The sequence below is a fragment of the Homo sapiens genome, chromosome 3 (genome assembly GCF_000001405.40).
Source record: "Homo sapiens chromosome 3, GRCh38.p14 Primary Assembly".
NCBI classification, from domain to species: domain Eukaryota; kingdom Metazoa; phylum Chordata; class Mammalia; order Primates; family Hominidae; genus Homo; species Homo sapiens.
In genome coordinates this window covers 138,225,342-138,248,241 of record NC_000003.12, presented here as the reverse complement: position 1 = coordinate 138,248,241, position 22,900 = coordinate 138,225,342, and the positions used below count along the sequence as shown (strand labels likewise).

General features: G+C 36.8%; 1 protein-coding gene across 16 annotated transcripts in view; it reads right to left on the bottom strand.

The window, feature by feature from the left end:
* Window positions 1–22,900, bottom strand: part of ARMC8 (armadillo repeat containing 8) — a 111,142-nt gene that overhangs the window by 50,148 nt on the left and 38,094 nt on the right. For 9 of the 16 annotated variants that reach the window (XM_006713565.3, XM_011512632.2, XM_006713566.5 and 6 more), the window contains 7 exons: window positions 19,232–19,324; window positions 13,128–13,208; window positions 10,858–10,933; window positions 10,670–10,760; window positions 8,714–8,774; window positions 6,259–6,459; window positions 3,059–3,154 (listed from right to left, as the gene is read on the bottom strand). In XM_006713565.3, coding sequence (XP_006713628.1) covers window positions 3,059–3,154; window positions 6,259–6,459; window positions 8,714–8,774; window positions 10,670–10,760; window positions 10,858–10,933; window positions 13,128–13,208; window positions 19,232–19,324 — 699 coding nt within the window. Of the gene's footprint in view, window positions 1–1,354; window positions 3,155–6,258; window positions 6,460–8,713; window positions 8,775–10,669; window positions 10,761–10,857; window positions 10,934–13,127; window positions 13,209–19,231; window positions 19,325–22,900 lie in introns of those variants that run through there. The other 7 variants (XM_024453441.2, NM_001267041.2, NM_001282342.2 and 4 more) reach the window with 4 other exon arrangements.

The following is a 22,900-nucleotide window of genomic DNA, read 5'->3' as shown; positions in this document are numbered from 1 at the left end:
ACACGGCCAGGCCACAACTGTTGCCAGGCTCAGTGATCCTCCATCTTTTCTGGGGCTTCTTCTCCCTCTTCATGTCACAGTCAATGGTAGTATTTTTCACTCTCACCTGCACAACTCTTTCCACCAGCACCATCCTCCTTCACTCTAGCTGACAGGACACCACAATAAATTAAGAAATTTTCAAGTATGCCATAGAGTAATAAAGGATGCAACACTCGGAATTAGAATACCAATTTTGCTCCATGCAGGATAAAGGTCCAAACAAATTAAAGAAAAAGTCACTCTGTGTACGATTTCTGCATTTTCATTTCTATATTTATTCAACAAATATTTATTGAGTGCTTATTAAGTTCCAGGGAATGTTATACAGTTGGTTTATTTTAGTGGGAATACACCAACACTGCTTCAAAGCAGGGGTGGTAAATCTCTGATCTACAAGTCACATTCCATCTTCAGCTTAATATTCTCTGGCCCAAAGAGAAGGTATCAAGAAATGAAAACACAGCAGACCTTTAGAAGTCTTTAGAAGCAGTAAAAGAGACACAATTATATGAAGAGAGGCCAGCGTCCTTCTCCTTTACTACTGTGTATACCTCTCATTGTCTCTACTTTGCTTATTTTCTCTTCTTCATTCTGCCTCCTTTCCTTAACTGGCCATAATAGGGCACTAGAATACATGTTATTTACCGAATGTATTGAATTATGTTCTCATTTTTAATTTAAATGGCAGACCAACTGAACATTTCATGTTTTTCTCCTGAAACAAACAAACTTTTTGTTGGTTTTTGAGGGGGAGAAGTAGGGATTGAGGGAAGTAGATCTACAGTCCTTTAAATTTCTTTCAGAGACTCTCCACTCATTAACTCAGTTTCTCTACTTATTGACTCAGTTAACTGAAATTCCATCTTGGCAAGCATAAACATTGCATTTTAAAAAAATCAAACAATAAACATTGTACTTTAAGGATCTACACAAAAAATACAGTCAAGTTCATAAGACATAAGTGTAAACAAGAAATAAATATTTCATGGAGAAAGTAAATAAAAATCTACCCAAATAATTATTTCAACAACAAAAAAGGAAAAGAAATGCACTCAAAAGAAAAGTGCTACTATTTATCATTTTTTATACACTGAAAATAAAATTTTTCCACGCCTATGGCCAGTCTTCAAGTAGATTTTATCACAAAATTACTTTATAGTTTCCATTTTACAATTTATCTCTTCAGTAGTTACTATGAACTGTAAATTATTCAAACACTTAATTTCCCAGAAATTAAATATCTTCCTTAAAATGCTATATAAGCCCCATTACATAATATCACAGTATCTTTGCTTTACCACACAAAAAACTATAATTAATAATTATAACTTTTTCTTTATTTGTCATCTTTCTACAGAAACGATCAGGAGTTAGCCTTACCAGGAAATTATACACATTATGAATACAAGTTTTAATAGACTACTGATTAGACTGTCATGTTGCAGGTATTTCTAGAACATGATATCACAAATTAAGCCATTAATTCCAAAACAGTTTATTAACAAAAAAGTACAAAGAAGTACAAATGGACATCCTATTTCCCATTGTGGTCCATCTGTCTATCTACCTTTCAGTCCATGAGATGGTTTTTTAGAGCTTTAAGAATGGGTAAAATACTTCTCCTGTTTCTAATGGGCCCTAATAACCATCCTAAACCAAATAATTGTGTATTTAAGTTACACAGTCCAATTTTTTAAAAATGTTCAAATCTATTGTTATAAAAGCCTCTCCCCTTGCAATACACCAACGTACCCAAACTGAACATTGGCGTCAACATCCATAAATCATATATATATCACTAGTATGTTTGCTTTGAAATAACAGTTTATAAGTGAAAACTTAGATGTACCAAAAATGATTTTCATAGGGATACACTAAAAACACTTCAAGTCAAAGTATCTTGTTAACTGAAATAAAGTGAGGTACATGGAAACATTCAATTTATTAGTTGTGCTTTTTGCATTGATTTTAAATCAAAGCTACTCACACATCAAATCTTATTGCTATTACTTCAGTTTCTTCAAGAAATGGTTCCTTTTCAAGTTATTTCAACAAATGTAAGGTTGTTCCATACTCCTCTTTCTACAGGCCTGAAGAACTTCTCTGAATCATGGTAAACTCTAATACTTTGTGATTTCTCTCACAGTGCTCCTTAAAATACTAATGCAGATGGAGAGATTTAGTAAATCATCATGTTCAGTAAATAATGACTAATTTGCTCTTTCTGCTATGGCTCCTCAAGACAGAACATGTGGTTTTGCTCTCTGATGGTCTTGAAAGCCTTGTGTAGAATTTATTAGGTTATACATGTTTTTGAGTGGTAAGTTCCAGCTTTTTGGTTTGTGGAAGGAGCCAAGTCAGAGCTTACTTACCACTATACTCCTCATCTAGAAGTATTCTCATCAAGAACATGAGTTCAGTGTTAGACTAGGCTTTAGTAACATAAGGGTGCTATACCAGTGCATACATTTTCTGGGGAGCTGGAAAATTCAGATGACCACTCACTAAACATAAAATCATCATTCCACAAAGATTTTATTCACATTAAACTTGCACAGTAGCAAAAAAAATCAAAACATAAAACTAAGCCACATATCAAAGAACAATATACAATAGAGATTTGAATTTCTCAATAGCATTGGAAGGTATTTCCATAAATAACATTTACAATTCTAATGTTAGGACTTTCAAGGTGTCTGAAGCTTCACAGTGCTAGAATTGATTTTTATCAGAACACATGCAAAAATGTGCAACATAATAATTCATATTAATGACACAAAAAAAAAGCACGCCAGTTATTTGTCATTCCAGCACGGCCATGCCACTCTATGTTCTAAAAACAAACAAACAACCCCCCAAATCCGGGTCCCATTCATTCTTCAATTATGCCTTTAGTCACTCTGCTTTATTATATTCAAACAGTCACTGTTAGTGCTCTTCACCACGACTTTCAGGTTGACGTCACTCCCTGCCTGCTGGCTGTCAGGACTGGGGGACGCCCCTCTCCCAGACTCACCTTCTTCCGGATGTCTTCATCATTTGCTCCAAGAGAGGCATAGAGCTTGAATGCAGCCTGGCGGAGTTCGTGAGCATGTTTTAAATCATGATCAAGCTATGGGGAAAAAAAGGATATGTTCCAACTCAGTCCATAAATTCAACTTTCAATAACATTAACTGAGTTGAAGAAAAAAAAAGTTTACAACTTTTAGATTTTAGTGAATTTCCCAGTCATTAACTACATTTCCCAGTTATTTTTGGATTCTGTTCACATAGCACTGAGACTTTGCAGTGTTCGTATCAATGTGACCTAAAATGCACACAATATGCTTCCATTTAAAAGTGAACACTATATTTGACACTGATATATGAAAAACCATTGTGAATCTCTGACTCCGAAAAATTCAGTGTTCCTAAATGGTAGCTTTACTGGCACTAATGCTTGCTTGCAGCAGCTCTTTGAAATGTTCTCCTTCAAAAGAAGGCACACCTGGACTTCTCTAGCCCCAGACTACAGCTGATAACCTGAATGAAATCGCAACAATGTCTTTAGGAGGGTTCCCTTAATTTTCTGAAACATTAAGAGTAGTGCTGGCCTAATTTTGGCATTTAAAAAGCTTTTAGAGGCCGGGCGCGGTGGCTCACGCCTGTAATCCCAGCACTTTGGGAGGCCGAGGCAGATGGATCATGAGGTCAGGAGATCTAGACCATCCTGGCTAACACGATAAAACCCTGTCTCTACTAAAAATACAAAAAAATGAGCTGGGCGTGGTGGCAGGCGCCTGTAGTCCCAGCTACTTGGGAGGCTGAGGCGGGAGAATGGTGTGAACCCAGGAGGCAGAGGTTGTAGTGAGCCGAGATCGCGCCACTGCACTCTAGCCTGGGCAACAGAGCGAGACTACATCTCAAAAATAAATAAATAAATAAAAATAAATAAAATAAAAAGCTTTTAGAAACAGAGAACCCATTGTGAAAATGCTTAACAAACCGTATACTATGGTAACCATTATTATCTATTACAGTTATCTGAGATTTATGTTGGGTATGGGTTTTTTCAAGAACATTATCAAAATTATCAGCATGAAGCAATTAATGGTATCTTTAAACATGCATAACTAATTATCAACTCTTCTATAAACTTGATCACCAAACTACTGTAAAGATAAAACAGAAGCATATTTTCAGGATACTTTCAATGACTGACTATGACCAAGTAACTATACAAAGTCTACCAATAATATAAATAACCTCGTAACTAAAAGCCTTAATGTAATCATCCAAATGAATACCACTTTTCCCAAAGAAGTTACTTTGGAAAGGTTCACTCATCCAATGATGTAGGTGTTGTTCATAACATTCTGAGACCCTCTTTTGAAACTTCCTAAAGAGCTAACTGGTATTATTAGCTAGAAAACACTGACAGTGGTATAGCTTGATCAATGATGAGACTTTTAGTTGTCACTGACTGTGTGTGAAGATGGAGAAATTCAGTTGGGTAATATAACGTAGGTAACAAAAAATTCCACAGAAAGCAAAAGACAATATATATATTTTACATATATATATAATTTGGGGTGGCTCTGAAGGCAATTCTTAATAGTTCCAAAACTTCTGTTCAAAGCAGACACTGATGGATTATAGGAAGAACTTCCCAATACAGAATACTCACTTTGATAAGTTCTAAAAGTATCTACTCTTAAAGTCTTAACTACATTCTAGTCATAAATTAAGATATAATACTGACTTGAACTAACATATCATGAAAATCACAAATTTATTAACATGTGAAGATTTCTCTTTACGGGTCTAGTGTCTATACTTTTCGGGTCAGAAACCTTTGGATAATCCATCATCAAAAATAAAGATGACAAAACAAACTATTACTCAAGTTTGGTATTACGATGTCATTTTTAAGGATTATTGTTGTTACAGTTTTACTCTGATGGAAATGAAATGGAAAAACTAACAGAAGGGATAATCTACGTACTAGTTAAATGATTTGCATATGCATAGGCTACATGTTCTTAAAATTGTTTCCTTACTCTCATGGCCATCAAAACATTTTATTTGCCTTCCTGGGGTGGTCAACTCAGGGCGTTCATGAGGCAGTAGCTAAGGGTTGCTCATGTATCTTTGTATTGGTAAGATACAGTGTCAGTGTGAAAAAATGACCAGAAGGAAAACAGACAAGGCAACTGGTTAAATGTATGTAACCCATCACTTCTACTGGAAAAACACCACTACTGAAAGAAGAGCAGACACATAAGTTTAATACCCAGAGAGTAGAGTACATTACTAATACAAATACCAGTGAAGGTTATTTTAGGCCCTTCTTAAGACAGAGTAAAGATATACCCTTAATAGTTTGCTTTATTTTCAAAGTTAAAAGCCAAATGAACAACTGCCTACCAAATGAGGTTTTTTGAAACTCAAAAGCATGAGGGAGAGGTCAAAAGGAGAATAGTTACCATTGGAACCACTGGCATGAAAAATACAGTTACATTCATGAAACAGTACTGGCTACTAATTAAGAGGCAATGTTCTCTCTACCATGACCTCCTTGAATAAACTTTCTCTTACAGAATGTTCATCTCCTATGCTTAAAGAAATGGATAGGGCAAACAGGCTGAGATGCAACAAGTCAAAATAAATACCGATCTATTCTAAGGAACTTAGGTTTTCAGAAAAAGCACAATTTGGCCTTTTTGGTCCCAAATTCAAGATTAAATGATGCTTTAGCTGTCACTAGCAGGCCCAAAGCACAGTATGAAACTGGGAAAAAGAGAAGATAGGGAAAGGTAACAAAATAGACTGTGGTGGAAAGTAACATGGGACAACTTAGTCTCCTGTAACAAAAAGATTACTCCTGACCTAAAGAATGAGAATGTAACAACAGAGATGATTCCATGACCAAGAATAAGATTATACGGTTATGTCAATACCCAGCTTGGAGAATCCACTACTTTTGAGGTTTAGTTGGGGAGTTAGGATGCAATTTTCTTTATTGCTTATCTGCTCAGTAAAAACTTTCTGACAATAAACATTAAACAACTTGGATTCAAAAATTCACAAAGCAATATTATCTATGTTACCAAAGATAAAAGAACCTTTATTTAAAAGGGCTTTAAGCTGTAGTTATCAATTGGTTCAAAACTGTGAACAGTAAGAAAAACTTTAGAAAAATCTCCCTTGAGCTGCTAAAAAAGGAAAATAACATACCCTTTTAATATCAGTGATGGCACTCACTGAGCTGGGATACTTGAAATAATCAGCAAGCATGGCAATGAGGTGATCAGTTATGCTAGCGATTCTCTGTAGCTCAACATCTGGTTCAATCAGATAGGCAAGTGTCTCAGCTCCTTCAACTCTCTCCTCTAGTAATCTCTCCTTACTGCACATTCGAACCAAACAAGGTAATGTCTGAAAGGTAGTGAGATTAATTATTTGCTTTTTGGTAAAGGTAAAAGCTTAAGCATATAGTGACTGAATCAACTCAATAGCTTTTATCAGGAGTAATGTTTATGATCATATATTTCCTTTACTGACTTCTAGAGAATAAAAGATTTTTTTAAAATGCAAAAACAAGCAAAATTCAGTACACATTAATAATTTGTACTGGCACATTAAACTCTATTCGTACGTCAAAGTATATTAATACAAATTCTAATTAGGCTTTTGGGACCGATAAGACAAGTTTTATTGTACAACTTTGTAAAAGACATTTAAGAATCCCTAACAAATCATGTCTGATGGTTCTGCCCTATCTATCTATTTATTTACCTAAAAAAGACCCAGCAGTTTAATCAGGAATGATTTTGCCTTAGGAAAAGTATGCTATCTCTTCCTTAGTGAGTAATATCGTTTATTTTTTGGTTTGGGGAGTCATACCTACAGTTGCCAAAACAAAATACAGCTTTAAAACTGCAGTGATCTTACCATTACTCAGATTCCACCAGTTCTACTATAATGCAACTGAAATGTATCACAGTTGCTAGGTTTTCCCAGTAACTTGCTGGAATTAGCAGTGGTATCCATGAGTCCAATTTTACTTCTGAGGTCCCTCAAAAATCTTGGCAATGGTTTGGTAACTTATCTACATTAGGTTCTCAATAAAAATATTACAGACATTTACTATTTCTTTTTCTTTTTTTTTGAGACGGAGTCTCGCTCTGTCGCCCAGGCTGGAGTGCAATGGCACGATCTCGGCTCACTGCAACCTCTGCCTCCTGGATTCAAGCAATTCTCCTGCCTCAGCCTTCTGAGTAGCTGGAATTACAGGCACCCACCACCACTCCTGGCTAATTTTTTATTTTTAGTAGAGATGGGGATTCACCAGGTTGGCCAGGCTGGTCTCGAACGACATTTACTATTTCTAAGCCTGACGGATCCACTTGAAAGGACAATGTGGAAGTATAAATTGAAATGTTATCATTATAGAAAGTCTTCCTCAAATACTGCAGGCAACTGTGCTTTGCTCTTTTATATATAATAAGTTCCTATTATATCTTTTACCACAGAGCTTAGCACTTCATCGTTCACTACTAATTTCCTATTAGGCTAGTAGAAGCTTTATAATTCAACCCTAGGTTTCCAAGGGGAAGGCCCTATTCTTTTTTCCCTAACATTACTAGTTACTAATATTTATTGATACCATAAATTCATGAATTATGTAATCTAATGCTCATGACTACTATGTGAAGAATATACTACTAACATTTTACCAATGCAGAAAAAGAGGAAGGTTAGAGAAGTAAATAAATCAAGATAAATGCTATGGAAGTCCGTGGCACTCTATGAAGAGTTGTTTACTTAGGGAGTGTTCAGATCTCATTAAATTAATTCTCTTCCCCAAAGACTAAAGCAAATATTAGTCTTCTTTGTGCTCTTTTATCCTTGGGATCACCTTTTGAACAATGATAATGTGAGATCTCATATTTATAAAATGACACATCATCAATTTACTTATACTTAATTTTTTATAGCTAATAAGACATTTTAATGTATTTAATATATTGTTATCCTCACAATAACCCTGTGCATAGATGAGCAGGAATTATTGCTTCAATTTTCATAATCTGGAGTCCGAGGCATCAAAAGAATAAAGGATGTACAGTCAGAGGTGGGAGTGCTAAAACCAGAATCCAGGTTTTAGGACTTTTAGGGCTGGTCTTTTCTCCAGGTTTTTCTAAATTCAAGTTGTATATGACATATCACAATGACAATGCTTGTTTTCATGTGTTATCTACTTATTCTCTTTCATTATGCCTTTTGATTATCAGCTATGAGAATGATATAAAGTCTTTTTCTGCAAAAGTGGCAAATCGTCTGCCTCTAAAACTGTAGTACAAATTTAATGACAATCAAGAACGAAATATATTTTCTGTTTCACCTGAATTGTACACTTTTACAATTTCCACATCCTCCTAATTACCATAAAATGAAAGGCTGTGACAATGAAATAATTATTTCACGCTGACTTTCGAAACACATCTAAAATCAATTTTTAAAAACTATATGACATCCACTGAAAAGAAAGCATGGTCTTTCAATATTATTCTACGCCATGCACATATATCATAATGATAAATGTGTAAAATGAAATATGAGTATCAATACTGATATTTAACACATAACTGGATAATTTTCACATTTTAAAGATAATTAATTAGCTTACCTTTAATACAATACAGTTATCATCTGTCCGAATTGCTCCAGCTCTACACATGTAAGTTAAACTGGAATAAGACAGCAGAAAATAAGTTTTTGCTTGGAGTTTAAAGCTTTAAATGAAAAATTATTTGCCTTTAAGATTTTATTAAAAAATCGAAAACCAAATAATATCACTTATCTTGAGAGTGAAGATTTTGACAATTCGCTTTTCGGAGGTTCAGTCAATTTAATAGTCAAAGAAAACTAACTGACAAATACAGATGGTAAGCCAGATATTTAAAAAAACAAAATGAAACAAAAACCTACCAAATAGTTTTAAAAATAAATAACCTAATGATGGACACATTTTGAGGCTAGGTGCTGGGCACATGTTGTATTCTTTATACTTCAGAATTTTCCATAATAAAAAGGGAAAAATGTTCAAAATGAAACATAAGATGAACACATTATCTCAGTTTAAATGAAGTTGGAATATTCTAACTCCAAATGCAGTAGAAGTATCACAGAAGAGGCATTTAACTTGTAACACAGCTATCCATCAGAAATGAACTATTCAGAGGTTAACAGCAGGGGCTTTGGGAACGAGTCAATAATTTGGTTCTACTGAAAAACAATTATAAGCTGCCTTTGAATAAGAATATAATTAATTTTTATTCCCCAGGCAGGCGCTGAACATTAAGCGCTTCAGAAATTTAAATTAATGAATTTCCTTTTTGATTACATTCCTTTAGCAAGATGGGGGAAAAAAATTAAAACATCTCACGTTGGCTTCTACCGAAAGTTATAAACAGGTAAAATCATTTTACTTATATTGTAGACGGCTGAAATATTTGTAGTTGTTATTATCTTGAGGCTTGTTACCATATTGTTTTTCTGAAACCATTTACTTTAGAACATTACCTTACTGACAGAGGCAAATGCTCAGTTTTAAAGACAAAAAGCAAAAAATGATACAAACAAATAAAAACCAAACAATTCACGATACATGAGTAATTCATTGAAAATGCCAAATTCTCACCAAAATGTTAGAACCACAGCTTAAATACTAAGATTAAACTTAGCACAGAACCCTACACAAGTGCTCAACACACCCATTCATGTATTGATAATTACAGAACATGCACTGAATGCTTACATGAGCCAGAAATTGTGCTAATAAAAACTCTGCAGCTGGGCACAGTAGCTCATGCCTGTAATCCCAGCACTTTGGGAGGCCGAGGCAGGTGGATCACGAGGTCAGGAGTTTGAGACCAGCCTGACCAACATGGTGAAACCCGTCTCTACTAAAAATACAAAAATTAGCCAGGCGTGGTGGCATGTGCCTGTAATGCCAGTTACTCAGGAGGCTGAGGCAGGAGAATTGCTTGAACCTGGGAGGCGGAGGTTGCAGTGAGCCGAGATAGTTGCCACTGCACTCCAGCCTGGGTGACAGAGTGAGACTCCGTCTAGAAAAAAAAAAAAAAAACCTTTGCATAAGTATCTTCTAAACCATCACAACTTTTGAAGATTTTGTGTTTTTTTTTTTTCCTTAAAAGATGAGGAAGCCACGTTCTCTGAAATCATCCCTTGGTTATCAACTTCAACTAATTCTCATTCCATATTTCTATATCTTTGTATTTCCCTGGCTAATACTTAGCATAGTATATGTTGGTTAAATCTAATCTAATTCAGTATTATTTCAACTGAAGTAGAAGGACAGTAGTTTGAGGATGTAATAAAGTAATTTTCTGAAGACAGTCTCAGATGTTATACGAGAGTTCCTGTTCTGCATATTACTAGTAATAAGCTGAGTATAAAAAACTCACATCCATTTAAGAAAATGTGGGATGGACTCCTGACTTTCAAATTTCAAAATCTCAAAATAAAATGGGGATTGGAAGCAAGCAAATTTGGTTGTCCAAAAATACTCTAAGATATTGATAAAGCACTGTCTTTCTTCCCACATTGTCCTGACTTTTACCATTTTGCTGATGTGAGCTGCATCTCAATAGGCTTATCCCTCTGTAACATCTTCACAAAAATCTGTGGTAACAATTCTCCATCAACCAAAACTAGAAATAAAACAAACAACAATGATTAAGGAAATTCTTTAAATCTAAAAAGTTCATCAATTAAATCATGTAGGTGCCACTGAAAGCTCCAGCCTACCATTTACCAGGGTCATCGATACCTGGGGGTTTTCAAAAGCTAAAACTGAGAAACATTTCAGTGCTTGCATTCGAACCTGTAAAAATAAATGAACAAACAAAAAATGTGTTTAATTCTGCAAATGCAAATTTTAATGTCTCAGAATCTAAACTCTTCTAAAAAATTATGTAAATCTGCTTAAAATACTAACAGGCCTCAAAGAAATAACAATAACACCTGTACAGCTGCAGAGTACAGTAAGTTAAAATTAACTATAAAAGTTAGAACTAATTTTGAATAGGAAAAAAATCAGGAAGTAGCAATTTAAATTTAACTAGATAAATCCCTAATCAAAATTAAAAGAACACTATACAAAATACAGTTGGTAAGACAAAGAGAACTTAGTAACAATTAATTACCAAGTGGCTTTCAAAGCGAATAAAAAAATAGAATACTTTTATGTATGGATTGGAGACAGGGAACAGAAGGAGAGGAAACAATATTACAATAAAATTTAAGAAGCGCTAACTTTTAAAACACCCATGAATTGTGCTACTATTCCTCAAAACTAGGTTACTGGTTTGGGATAATACCAAGGGCCCAATCCTTAACCATATATAATATGCTTTACAATTTCCAGAAGCTCCTAAGAGATGTTTTTTTTTTTTTTAATTCTTTCCATTCTAATCCAATCTAATCCTCACTTCTAAGTCTGAGTCTACACATGATGTTTTAATGTGGAACCTGAGGTTGACAAGCACTCACAGGATAGGTAGCTGGGGTATGAAGAAGCCCTGCCCCTCACTTGGGCAATGCTCTGCAGCACTAGCATGTGCCCACAGGAGGAACCTAGAATACATTAATGGCACTTTGGTAATACAGCAAACCCTGGCAGAAGAGTAATGTTACCAGACTAGTCCCCTTTCCACAACCTGTAGGTTTTTCAAATCATTATAGTAAATAAGGAAGTCTAGTGCAGAAAAGATAGGAGAAATGGAGGAAGAGCTGGGGGAATTAATGAAGCTAGAGGAGATGAAGTAAAGGAACAATAAACAGCCACCCAAACAATTGTTTCTTGATGTGCAAGTGCTGACTGGTTTAGCCTTTGCATGGCACAGGAAAGAGGAGGTACCTTTCAGTATATATTTATTTCCCCTGCCTCTGGCTAGTTTGAAGTTAGTTCCACTCTCCATTCCTATCCTTATGAGCTCTTTACCAAGACTAAACTAGATAGCTGAGGTAGGGAAAACATACACATTAGTAGGCCCTACCTGAAATAAATTTAAAGACTAAAAGGACAGGCCGGACACGGTGGCTCACGCCTGTAATCCCAGCACTTTGGGAGGCCAAGGCAGGCGGATCACAAGGTCAGGAGATCAAGACCATCCTGGCTAACATGGTGAAACCCTGTCTCTACTAAAATATAGAAAAAATCAGCCAGGGGTGGTGGCAGGTGCCTGTAGTCCCAGCTACTCGGGAGGCTGAGGCACGAGAATGGCGTGAACGTGGGAGGCGGAGCTTGCAGTGAGCCAAGATCGTGCAACCGCACTCCAGCCTGGGCAACAAAGCGAGACTCTGTCTCAAAAAAAAAAAAAAAAAAAAAAAAAGACTAAAAGGACAGAATGGAGTCACTGCAAGAGGACAGAAGACAAAAATGACTGCTTCCCTGTTCTGCAAGTAACTCCTGCAATACCCAACTCTAATGTTACACAATTAAAGACTACATGCCAATATTTGCTACAACTTGTAGATGGACAACAATGAATGGCGAAGGTTTTAACTCAACACCTGGTAATATGACACTGCTTGCTTTCATATATAAAAGAAAACGTAATTAGTTAAGTCTGGAAACTCTTTACTTTTTAACTAAAAATACAAAACATAACACATTTTAAATGCTGATGTATATGCAGGAATATGCTAAGTCTGAGACACTGTGGTTAAATAAAGGTCTCAAATATGAAATTCTGTTCCTTCTTGATATAGAAAGCCACTGCTTCTATACTTCAAGGCATCATGGCACTGGTAGCTATCCAAAAAAGATTTTAAATTTAATGGGTGCAAATCAATAAGAACTCATGGTACAACTGTATCCTAAAAAAGAGATGCAAGGGCAGCTTTTTTTTTTTTTTTAAAGAGCATTCTATAGCTAAAATGATGCCCTATAACATTTTACTGATAAAATACTACTTTTGATCACAATTATCAAAGAAACAATAAAAATATGTGGGTCTGTTTCTAGAAATCACAAACAAGGTATACAAATCTGGCCACAATTTTTAACATCTTACTTTGTAGGACAGTGAGGTTAGTAGGTGAGCAATATTCTGAACTGCACCGTGGTTAAATAAAATTGTTTGATGATCTGGCCCCTGTAAGAAAAAAGAATACAACAATATATTTAGAAGAGTAATGACTCATTCCAATAAAACCACATTTACTTAAATGTAGAAAACCACATTCACTACAGTACAGAATCCTGTTACTCTTTGCTTAAATAAACTCAAACCTCAAAAAGCAGCACAAACACTGTGTTTAGTCCTGCAAAGGGCTACCATATCTTAACTCATTCCAGTTCTAGAAATGCTGCCTCTTTACCTCCTAGAAATATAGAAGTGGGCCCAGAAGCTATGTTGGCACAAGTCCTCTGCAATTATTAAATAGAACGCCCAAGTCCTCTGCAATTATTAAATAGAATGCCACCACAGCAATAGAGCCACGATGAATTCTGCATTTCATGTGCACATTATTGCCCTATGCCCACAGGAAACAGTGGCAGAGTCATTGTTACAACTTAGAACTGATGAGCTAGTCAGGGGAACTCTAAAAATGAATTGTAAAAGGAACTGGACCACAAACTAACCTACCTTAACACATCAGGGAGGTCTGAATAATGCTATAGTGGGAAACACAACACTCCATAACTGGGAAATGAACAACAACGTGTTTTGGTTTCCATATTTCTATCTCATTTTTCTTTTTAAAAGTATTGGTTCAGCCAGGCGCAGTGGCTCACACCTGTAATCCCAGCACTCTGGGAGGCTGCCGGGGGTGAATCAGGAGGTTGGGAGATCAAGACCATCCTGGTCAACATGGTGAAATCCCGTCTCTACTAAAAATACAAAAATTAGCTAGGTTTGGTGGCGCATGCCTGTAGCCCCAGCTACTCCGGAGGCTGAGGCAGGAGAATTGCTTGAACCCGGGAGGCGGAGGCGGAGGCTGCAGTGAGCCAAGATCGTACCACTGCACTGTAGCCTGGGCAACAGAGCGAGACTCCGTCTCAAAAAAAAAAACAAAAACAAAAACAAAAAAGTATTGGTTCTTAAAAGAGTAGGAAGGTAAAGAGATAGGAAAATGAAGGGTTTTTTTTCATCAATTCTGTTTTCTACTAATCAATGTACTAAAGAGCTTCAAAGTGACAGAAGCTAAAATTAATGCAAAGCTTCAAATTTGCCATAATTCTTATTCATTCATTTTATGTCCAACCTTATCCAATCAATTAATGAAAAATCAGCTAAAGCCAACACAGGGATGATATTTCATGCTTATCATCACTCAGAAGAGAAAAATATCACAAAGGTTGGCTATCGGTCTGGGCTCCCCAAAAGAAACCAGTTATTGGTCCAGCAAGTGCTCTCAAACCAATTTCTCCAACCCATTATTTAAGCAAGTAACAACTGTCATGAAGATGCTCGTTCTTTCTTGAGCCAAAACACCCATCATTTGAAGTGGGGAAATTAGCATTCGTACTTCTGAATAGCACGACCATCATATTCTACTTTATAGGTAACAATCCCCAAATATTTTATGTATTATTAAAAGAATCTGTAAAAAACTCAGCAATTTCTCTCTTTTTCCATATATTTTCTAACTTTGAGTTTCTTATTTTTAATCACAATACAGTACTCCATAGTTTGCTCATACAAACCCCCATTGTATATTTTAGGTAGTTTCTAATGTTTTACTGCTATAAGCAGTGTTTTGTTGAACATTATTTGAAGCTGCATCTCAGTACAGATCCTGAGGTTATGAGGATAAATTCCCAGAGTAAAATGGTGTGATATAGTTATTGTTACATATCCATCCAGAATGGTGCAAACCTGTTTTTGTCATAACTGAAAATACTGACATTCTCAGGGCATTGGTTTTAAGTGTGCTCCCTTTCCTCCCACCTCATCCATGCATCATCTGCAGTTATAAGCATAGGTACTACTTACTGGATACTGGATACCAGTGCCAGGCACTGCTCTAAACACTTCACATGCATTTGTCTCATTTGAAACAAAGGAGTCCTTGGCTTATAAACACAGTGGTGAAGACTGAAGTAGGGGAGCCAAAGAAAACAGGGGTCTCGTAAGGATTCGACCCTTTTTTTCTTACCTAGTTACTAAATCATGAAGATAAGCCAAAATTAGCCTCAGCTTATGTCATCACACTAAGGCTTTTTAAGTTCCTTATCAATTTTGACAACCCAGTTTAGACACTGGCAGAGCTTAGCAAAAGCGAAGTAGGCAGGGTGCTGCCTCAGCCTCTTGCACCTCATTGTTTTTCCACCTCTATCTGCAGCCAATCTGTTCTCCTGCCTTAAGGTGACCTAATAGATTATATGTTTCAAGACATTTTATACAGCAGATACGTAAATATATTCTTCCCCCATTTTAATACAAATGGTAGAATACTATATACACTGCTCTAAACCTTTTCTTCCTTCACAATTTATCTCAGAGATCATCCATATCAGCACAAAAAGAGTTTTCTCATTTATCTGTTGGCCTTACTCTATTATATGAATGTTCTAAACTTTAACTAGTACCCTATAGTTAGACACTTAGATTGTTTTCCGTCTTTTACTAACATCATTTCAGTGTATACCCATGTGCTTGTAACTTTTTTTCTAAGATCTGAATAATTTATGGCATATTCTTTCTAAGTTATATTTACAATGGATGGGGAAAAGATCAAGCACACTGCAATTCTCTCTATATATAATTGTTCCCTGGTGCTGACAAGATACCTTACTTTTTTCCGTCAAATTCTTTGCCTCAAAGATGGCAGCAAATACTTGTTACAAAAGAAGTTCTTCCTCCTCTCTGAGGTTGTACACAAAATTGTGTAAAAGCAGTTGTAAGGGGCTAGACGCAGTGGCTCATGTCTGTAATCCCAGCACTTTGGGAAGCCGGGGCAGGCAGATGGCTTGAGGTCAGGAGTTCGAGACCAGCCTGGCCAACATGGTGAAACCCCATCTCTACTTAAAAAAAAATATGAAAATTAGCCAGGTATTGTGGTGCACACCTGTAATCCCAGCTACTCGGGAGGCTGTGGCAGGAGAATCGTTTGGACCCAGGAGATGGAGGTTGCAGGGAGCCGAGATTGCGCCACTACACTCTAGCCTGGAAGACAGAGCGAGACTCCATCTCAAAAAAAAAAAAAAAAAAAAAAAAAAAGCAATTGCAAGGAAAGAATTAGTGGCTGAACCAACTAGTGAGGAGGATCTGTCATTTGAGACTTATCGGTCTCTCATTCAGCTTTCTCCAAATCAACCTGCAGGAACCTGGTGGTTAGTGAGGCAGCATCCACTGGGTGGGAAGCACCTAAGTCCTCATGGTCTTTTTTTTTTCCCCCCCCAGAGATGGGGGGTCTCACTACGTTGCCCAGGCTGGTCTTGAACTTCTGAGCTCAAGGGATCCTCTCGCTTGGGATCCTCTCGCTCAAGGGATCCTCTCAGCCTCCCAAAGTGCTGAGATTATGGGCATGAGCCACCACACCTGGCCTAGCTCTCATGGTCTTAAACTCCAAAAAATAGGCTCAGAAATCTGAGTAAATACTTAAGAAATAGCAACAGTTTAGAAGTTAGAATTTCAACAAATACTATTTCTAGTGAGTGTTTTCTGCTCAATAAATCAGAAAATTTCAAAAATATAATTATGATTATATTGCAACACAAATGCTTTAGTGAGCTCTCCCTTTTTCCCTCCCCCAAAGTATGTAAATTTATTTAATATTGATACCAGTCAAAGCAAATTAGTAATTTTAAGTTTTGTCATTTAATCTTAGCTTAATGTGAGTCCCTATGAGTCTTAAAATTCTATTATAAATCTTATTTTTTACTTATATGCAAAAAAAGAACAACATGAAAATAAAAGGGTTTTATATTTAATGACAATACATGGACCATTGGATCAGTTGTTCTCAAAGATACATGTTGTCAGTATATCGGTAAAGTTGTTAATATTGTATTTTAGGCTTTTACTAACGTCACTGGATTTATAAATGCTATACTGTTTCTTGAAGCCTAGCTATGTCTCAGAATATTTAAATGTGGTTATTTAATTGTAGTGGCAAATGCTAACTTATCCAATTAAAAGGTGAGTAAAGGTGACTTTCTCTGATAACATCTTCCATTCTGTCAGTGGTATGAGGCTGGCTGTTAAATTATTATCCTCAGTTTAAGTTTCTCTCCAGCAAAAAAATAGTGATTTAATGGTACTCTATAATTTCAGCTAAAACAGCATTGAGAAGTTTCAGATGAGCAATCCCTATGTTGAAGAGTTTCTGATGAGTAATCCTGAAAGCTATTTAGGTAACTTCAGGAATGGAATTATTCAAACTTCTCATAGCTTAAAATAATTTAACATGTAGTTATTCCTCCAGGTCCAATTTTCAGTAGCCTTTTGGGATTACTGTGCTTATGACTAGTAGATGCTGTGCTCTGTTCAACACTCAGTAATAGAATTTTATTTATTTATTTTTTTGAGACAGGGTCTCGTTCTGTGACTCAGGCTGAAGTACAGTGGTGCAATGACTGGTTCACTGCAGCCTCAACCACCTGTGCTCAATCGATCTTCCCACCTCAGTCTCTGGGGTAGCTGGGACTACAGGCACACGCCACCATGCCTGGCTAATTCTTTTGTATTTTTTGTAGAGATGGGGTTTCGCCATGTTGCCCAGACTGGTCTCAAACTCCTGGGCTCAAGAGAACCACCTGCCTCGGCCTCTCAAAGTGCTGAGATTACAGGTGTGAGCCACTGCACCCAGCCCCTGAAAAATTTTTAATGAGGCATACAGTTCTGGAGCATCTTCCTCAACTTGCCAGGCTGGCTATAAGACGTCATTTTGTTGTTGGGAAATTCTAGCCCTTGATGGATTCAGCTCATTTTAAGCAAGTGAGTTGCAACAAAACTGTCATTTTCTTAAAGCCTTTCTTTCCCCACCTCAAAAGATTATAAGGCATTGTTTGATATCTCTGCTCCTATGAGTTGGCCCACACTTTGTCAACGTAATCCAAGAAGAGAAACTTCAAAACTTTTTCACAAAAATCTTAAATAGTACTGAATAGATTGTGATAATCAGCTAGGGTTTGTTTGGAAGGGGGTTTAGATGTCTAAATTACAATGTAGAAACTCTTCCTAAAACTGGGTGATTTAGGTTTCATTTATTTGGAAGGCTGTTCTAAAACAGCATAGACCTGTGTCTTCCAGGTGTTCTCTTATCCCTTCTTTCCTATAGTTCCCAAAGCTCCTTACTTGTGACTTGTATTATAAATGATAGGATGTATTATAAATGATACAATATCATCAGAAGATAATTATTTGGTTAGAAGTTAGAAAATGTGTAGAAATTAAGAAAGATCTCAAGTAATCACCCATGGTTATCAAAAATGATACATTCAACATATAATCTACAAAGCAAACTAAATGGCACTTCATAGAAAAGAAAGAGAAACTTTACTCAACAATGAGAAGAATCTCTCTCCTTTCTCCTTATATGAGATCACTTAAACCAGTTTCCAGTAATAGGGAACAAGGGTGAGGGGAAACAGTCATGATCACACATTGCTGGTAGTATAAAGTGGTATAATCTTTATTTAAAAATGTGGTAAAATTACAAATACATATATTCTTTGACCCCAAAATTTTATTTCTTATAAAATGCCTCATATACAAGGTATTTTTTGCAGCACTGTTTTGTAATAGCATAAGACTGGAAACAAACTAAATGCTCCACAATAGAGGACTGGACAAATAAATCTACACACTAAAATACTATGCACTGTTAAAAAAAAAAAAAAAGAATGAGGGAGAGGTCCTTATGTACTGATATGGAATAGCCTTAGAGATATGTCAAGTGAAAAATGTTAAGGTGCAGAACAGTATGTATGGTATGCTGTCATTTGTGTTTTAAATATATATATATTTTATATATACATATACATATACATATACATATATATATATATATATATATATATATATATATATATATATATATATACACGCACACACACAGGTCTACTTATATATGTATGACTACCCCTGGGAGGGTACACAAAGAAGGTACATCTCTTAAAGGCATAATAAGATTTTACATTATAGATAACATTTATTCTGGTTCTTACTTTACAGCAGTGTGAGAAGATCTGACAGATGTACTCCTGGGTATAGCGGGACCTGCTAAGCAGTGCCATGAGGTGTGGTATCACTGTGGCATCCTAGGGAAGGAGAACACAGCAACAAGAAACTCAGGCACCATGAGTACATTTGATAAAATATAAAATATTTCCACAAGAAGGTAGTCAAATCTCTTATCTTAATGACAGTCAATCAAGTCTCCTTAAGGCACAGTGCAAAACAAAAGCAACGAGGCCATGAAAACTGTCTAGGCCAATGACAAAGAAAGAGGCTTCAATATTCATCCCTGGTAGCAAAATATGAGAACAGGAAATTCTCAATAACTCTCTCAAAAATTGCCTACATCCTCATGATAAAATCATTTCAATAAGAAGTGACAGAAATCAGTTCTGAAACCAAAATGTGAGGTAACTAGTACGTTATGCACTAGTAAATAGTTTATAAGGAAGAATTATTGTATAAAAATAAAATTTGAAAATTTTGATCTCCGAGATGTTAAGCACCAGTAAATACTAACAATCTCTCATAAAGACTGTAGTTAGCTATTTTCAATCTGTACAAGACGAGACAATTTATATGACTGGCAGCTTCTCAGGTACAGCCCACTCTCTGCCTATTGCTGACACTTAAGAACCTATGTAAAAGCACAGAAAAAGAGAAAATAATCAACCCACTCTGCTGCAAGTCTCTCCAAGAATTTCCTTTTATTTAGAATGCAGGCCAGGAGCGGTGGCTCATGCCTGTAATCCCAGCACTTTGGGAGGCCAAGGCGGGCAGATCTCCTCAGGTAAGGAGTTTGGGACCAGCCTGGCCAACATGGCGAAACCCCGTCTCTACCAAAAATACAAAAATTAGCCAGCCATCATGGCGCATGCCTGTAATCCCAGCTACTTGGGAGGCTGAGACACAAGAATCACTTGAATCGGAGAGGCGGAGGTTGCAGTGAGATTACGCCACTGCACTCCAGCCTGGATGACAGACAAGAGCAAGACTCTGTCTCAAAAAACAAAAACAAAAACAAACAACAAAAGAAAGCAGAAGGAGTTAAAAGTTGAAAGGTATTTGGCTGGAACCACAGATAAAAAAGGAGACTTAGCTCAAGCTTCCCAGTCAATGACATCACAAAAGTTATGCTTCTCAAGAAGGAATGTGCATGCAAATTCCCAGGAGATGTACTTAATGTACAGACTCTGATACTGTAGGTTTGGGGTAGGATCCTGAGTCAGCTTCCAAATGAGGCTGATGCCACTGGTCCACAGACCATACTTTGAGGATCCTCACCAGAGACAACAGAGGACAAAGAAAAAAACTTAAAAGAACACCCTTGTTGGGAGGAATAAGATTTGGGATTTTCCTTGGGAAAAAAAAGAATGCCCAAGATATGTAAAAGCCAAGTAGGAAAACAGAAGGCTGCTGATTCCCTACAAGTAGAATCTCTTCCCCGTTTGTTAGTATAACCCTTTGTGTTTACACAAGTAGTTTAAAAACAAAATGGAAAACTTAGAAAACTTCAAAGAAAGTCAGATACTAAGTGTACAGAAAGAAAAGGAAAATGTCAAGTCGGGGAAGGGGAAATGGGGTTTCACTGGCAAAGGATAGTGAAGCAGGTAGCAGCTAAGATAGAAAAGGCAAATAGGTAGATTAAAAAGCCTCTATTGGGCTCCTAAAGCTATTTCCACCTCCTTCCTTTTCTCTATGTTCTCACATTCCTCACTTTCCCTCAGTTACAACAGCCCCCATCCCATTTCTTCCCATCTGCACCTTTCTGTCAATTGTGTCTATATATCTGCAGATTACAGATGATTAAGGCAAATAACAATTATTAAATATGAAATTTGCCCAAAATCACCCATCTGATAAACACAATTTCAAACTAGAAATCCTGCTGTCTTTTTACTGGACTACCTACCCCATCTCTATTCTACTGCCAGAGTTGCTCAAACAGCTTTTTAAACAGCTGGCCTCTACACACTCCAACTCATGGAAGTCAGTTAATTACACTGAAACACTGTACTAGTTCTTCCCCAATTCAACTCTTCACAAGTTCTCCACTGTCTCTGAGACATAAAATATCGGAGGCATAAAATAGCTGAGGCACAAAATTGAAATCTTTCATAATTTAGATACTCTAAATTTAACCTCCAGGGGTCTCAATTTTCTCATGTAAAACAGCTGGCATAGATCAGAATTTTCCAAATGGTGCACCAGGATCCATTAGTAGGTCATCAATCAGTTTAGAGAGTGAGGTGGAAGGAGTTTAAATAGTTGGCCAGGATCAACTTCTCCCCTTATTATGGGATTGAGGGTAGGTGAGAAACTTCCAGGGTAAAAAAGACAGGTGACTGGCTTACTCTCTTTGCAAACATTACAATATGAACTACAGGAAAATAAACTGATATTAACTAAGCCCTCTATGGGATCCTTTGAGCAGGATGTTTATAGTAAACCAGCAGTTCTCAAAGAAAGTACTTTGAGACCAGCAGCATCTGAGTTACCTGCAAATTTGTTAGAAATGCAAAACCCAAGACTCACTGGATCATAAACTGGAGGTGGGGTCTAGCAAACCCTGTTTAACAAGCCCTCCACGTAATACTAGTGCAACTTCAAGTCTGAGAACGACTACAGTAAACACTCTATAGATTTATGAGGCATGACTCCCTGAAGAATGTCACACAAAACCATGAGGTATAAAATAAAGATGTTAGGCTGGGCGCAGTGGCTCACGCCTGTAATCCCAACACTTTGGGAGGCCGAGGCGGGTGGATCACGAGGTCAGGAGTTCGAGACCAGCCTGGCCAATATGGTGAAACCTTGTCTCTACTAAAAATACAAAAAAAATTAGCCGGTCATGGTGGTGCACACCTGTAATCCCAGCTACTTGGGAGGCTAAGGCAGGAGAATTGCTTAAACCTGGGAGGTGGAGGTTGCAGTGAGTCGAGATCAAGCCACTGCACTCCAGGCTGGGCAACAGAGCAAGACTCCATCTTAAAAATAAATAAAAGAAAATAAAATGTTTCATAATTTAGGTGCTCCCTACTGTGTGAGGTGACCCATAAATCTCACCTACTGACCACCTTATGTATCATTAAGTGCCAGAGGAGTATGTGTCTGATGTAGGAAGGACAGACTAGGGAGCCATGTGACATGTCTCCTCTCCATGCTTGCTTTGCCTATTCCTCGATTACTTACAGTCTTGAAATATTTATAAAGCCTGATTCTGGATAAGATCTCTGACTCCTGTGTGTACAATTTGACAATATGATTCGTTGTGTTAGCTCAGATAATTACAACCACCATTTTTTTAAAGAATGAAAAATGATAGCATAGAAACCAGAGGGCATTACATCTGTGGAACAATGTCATGAAACTTGTCTCAGGATTCTTTCACATACACATACATACATACACATATATACACACACATACACAAACTGACATGTATAGTGAGGCAATGGAAAATATGCTTCTTGCTGTGAACTGTGAATAAGAGTGTTTAAAAATATTGGCCTAACTGTCAGTAAGAAAGCCCCATGTAAAGTGACTGTAATTTACAATAATCTATTGTATATTGAAAAATAGCTAGAAGAGGCCGGGCGCAGTGGCTCACACGCCTGTAATCCCAGCACTTTGGGAGGCCGAGGCGGGCAGATCATGAG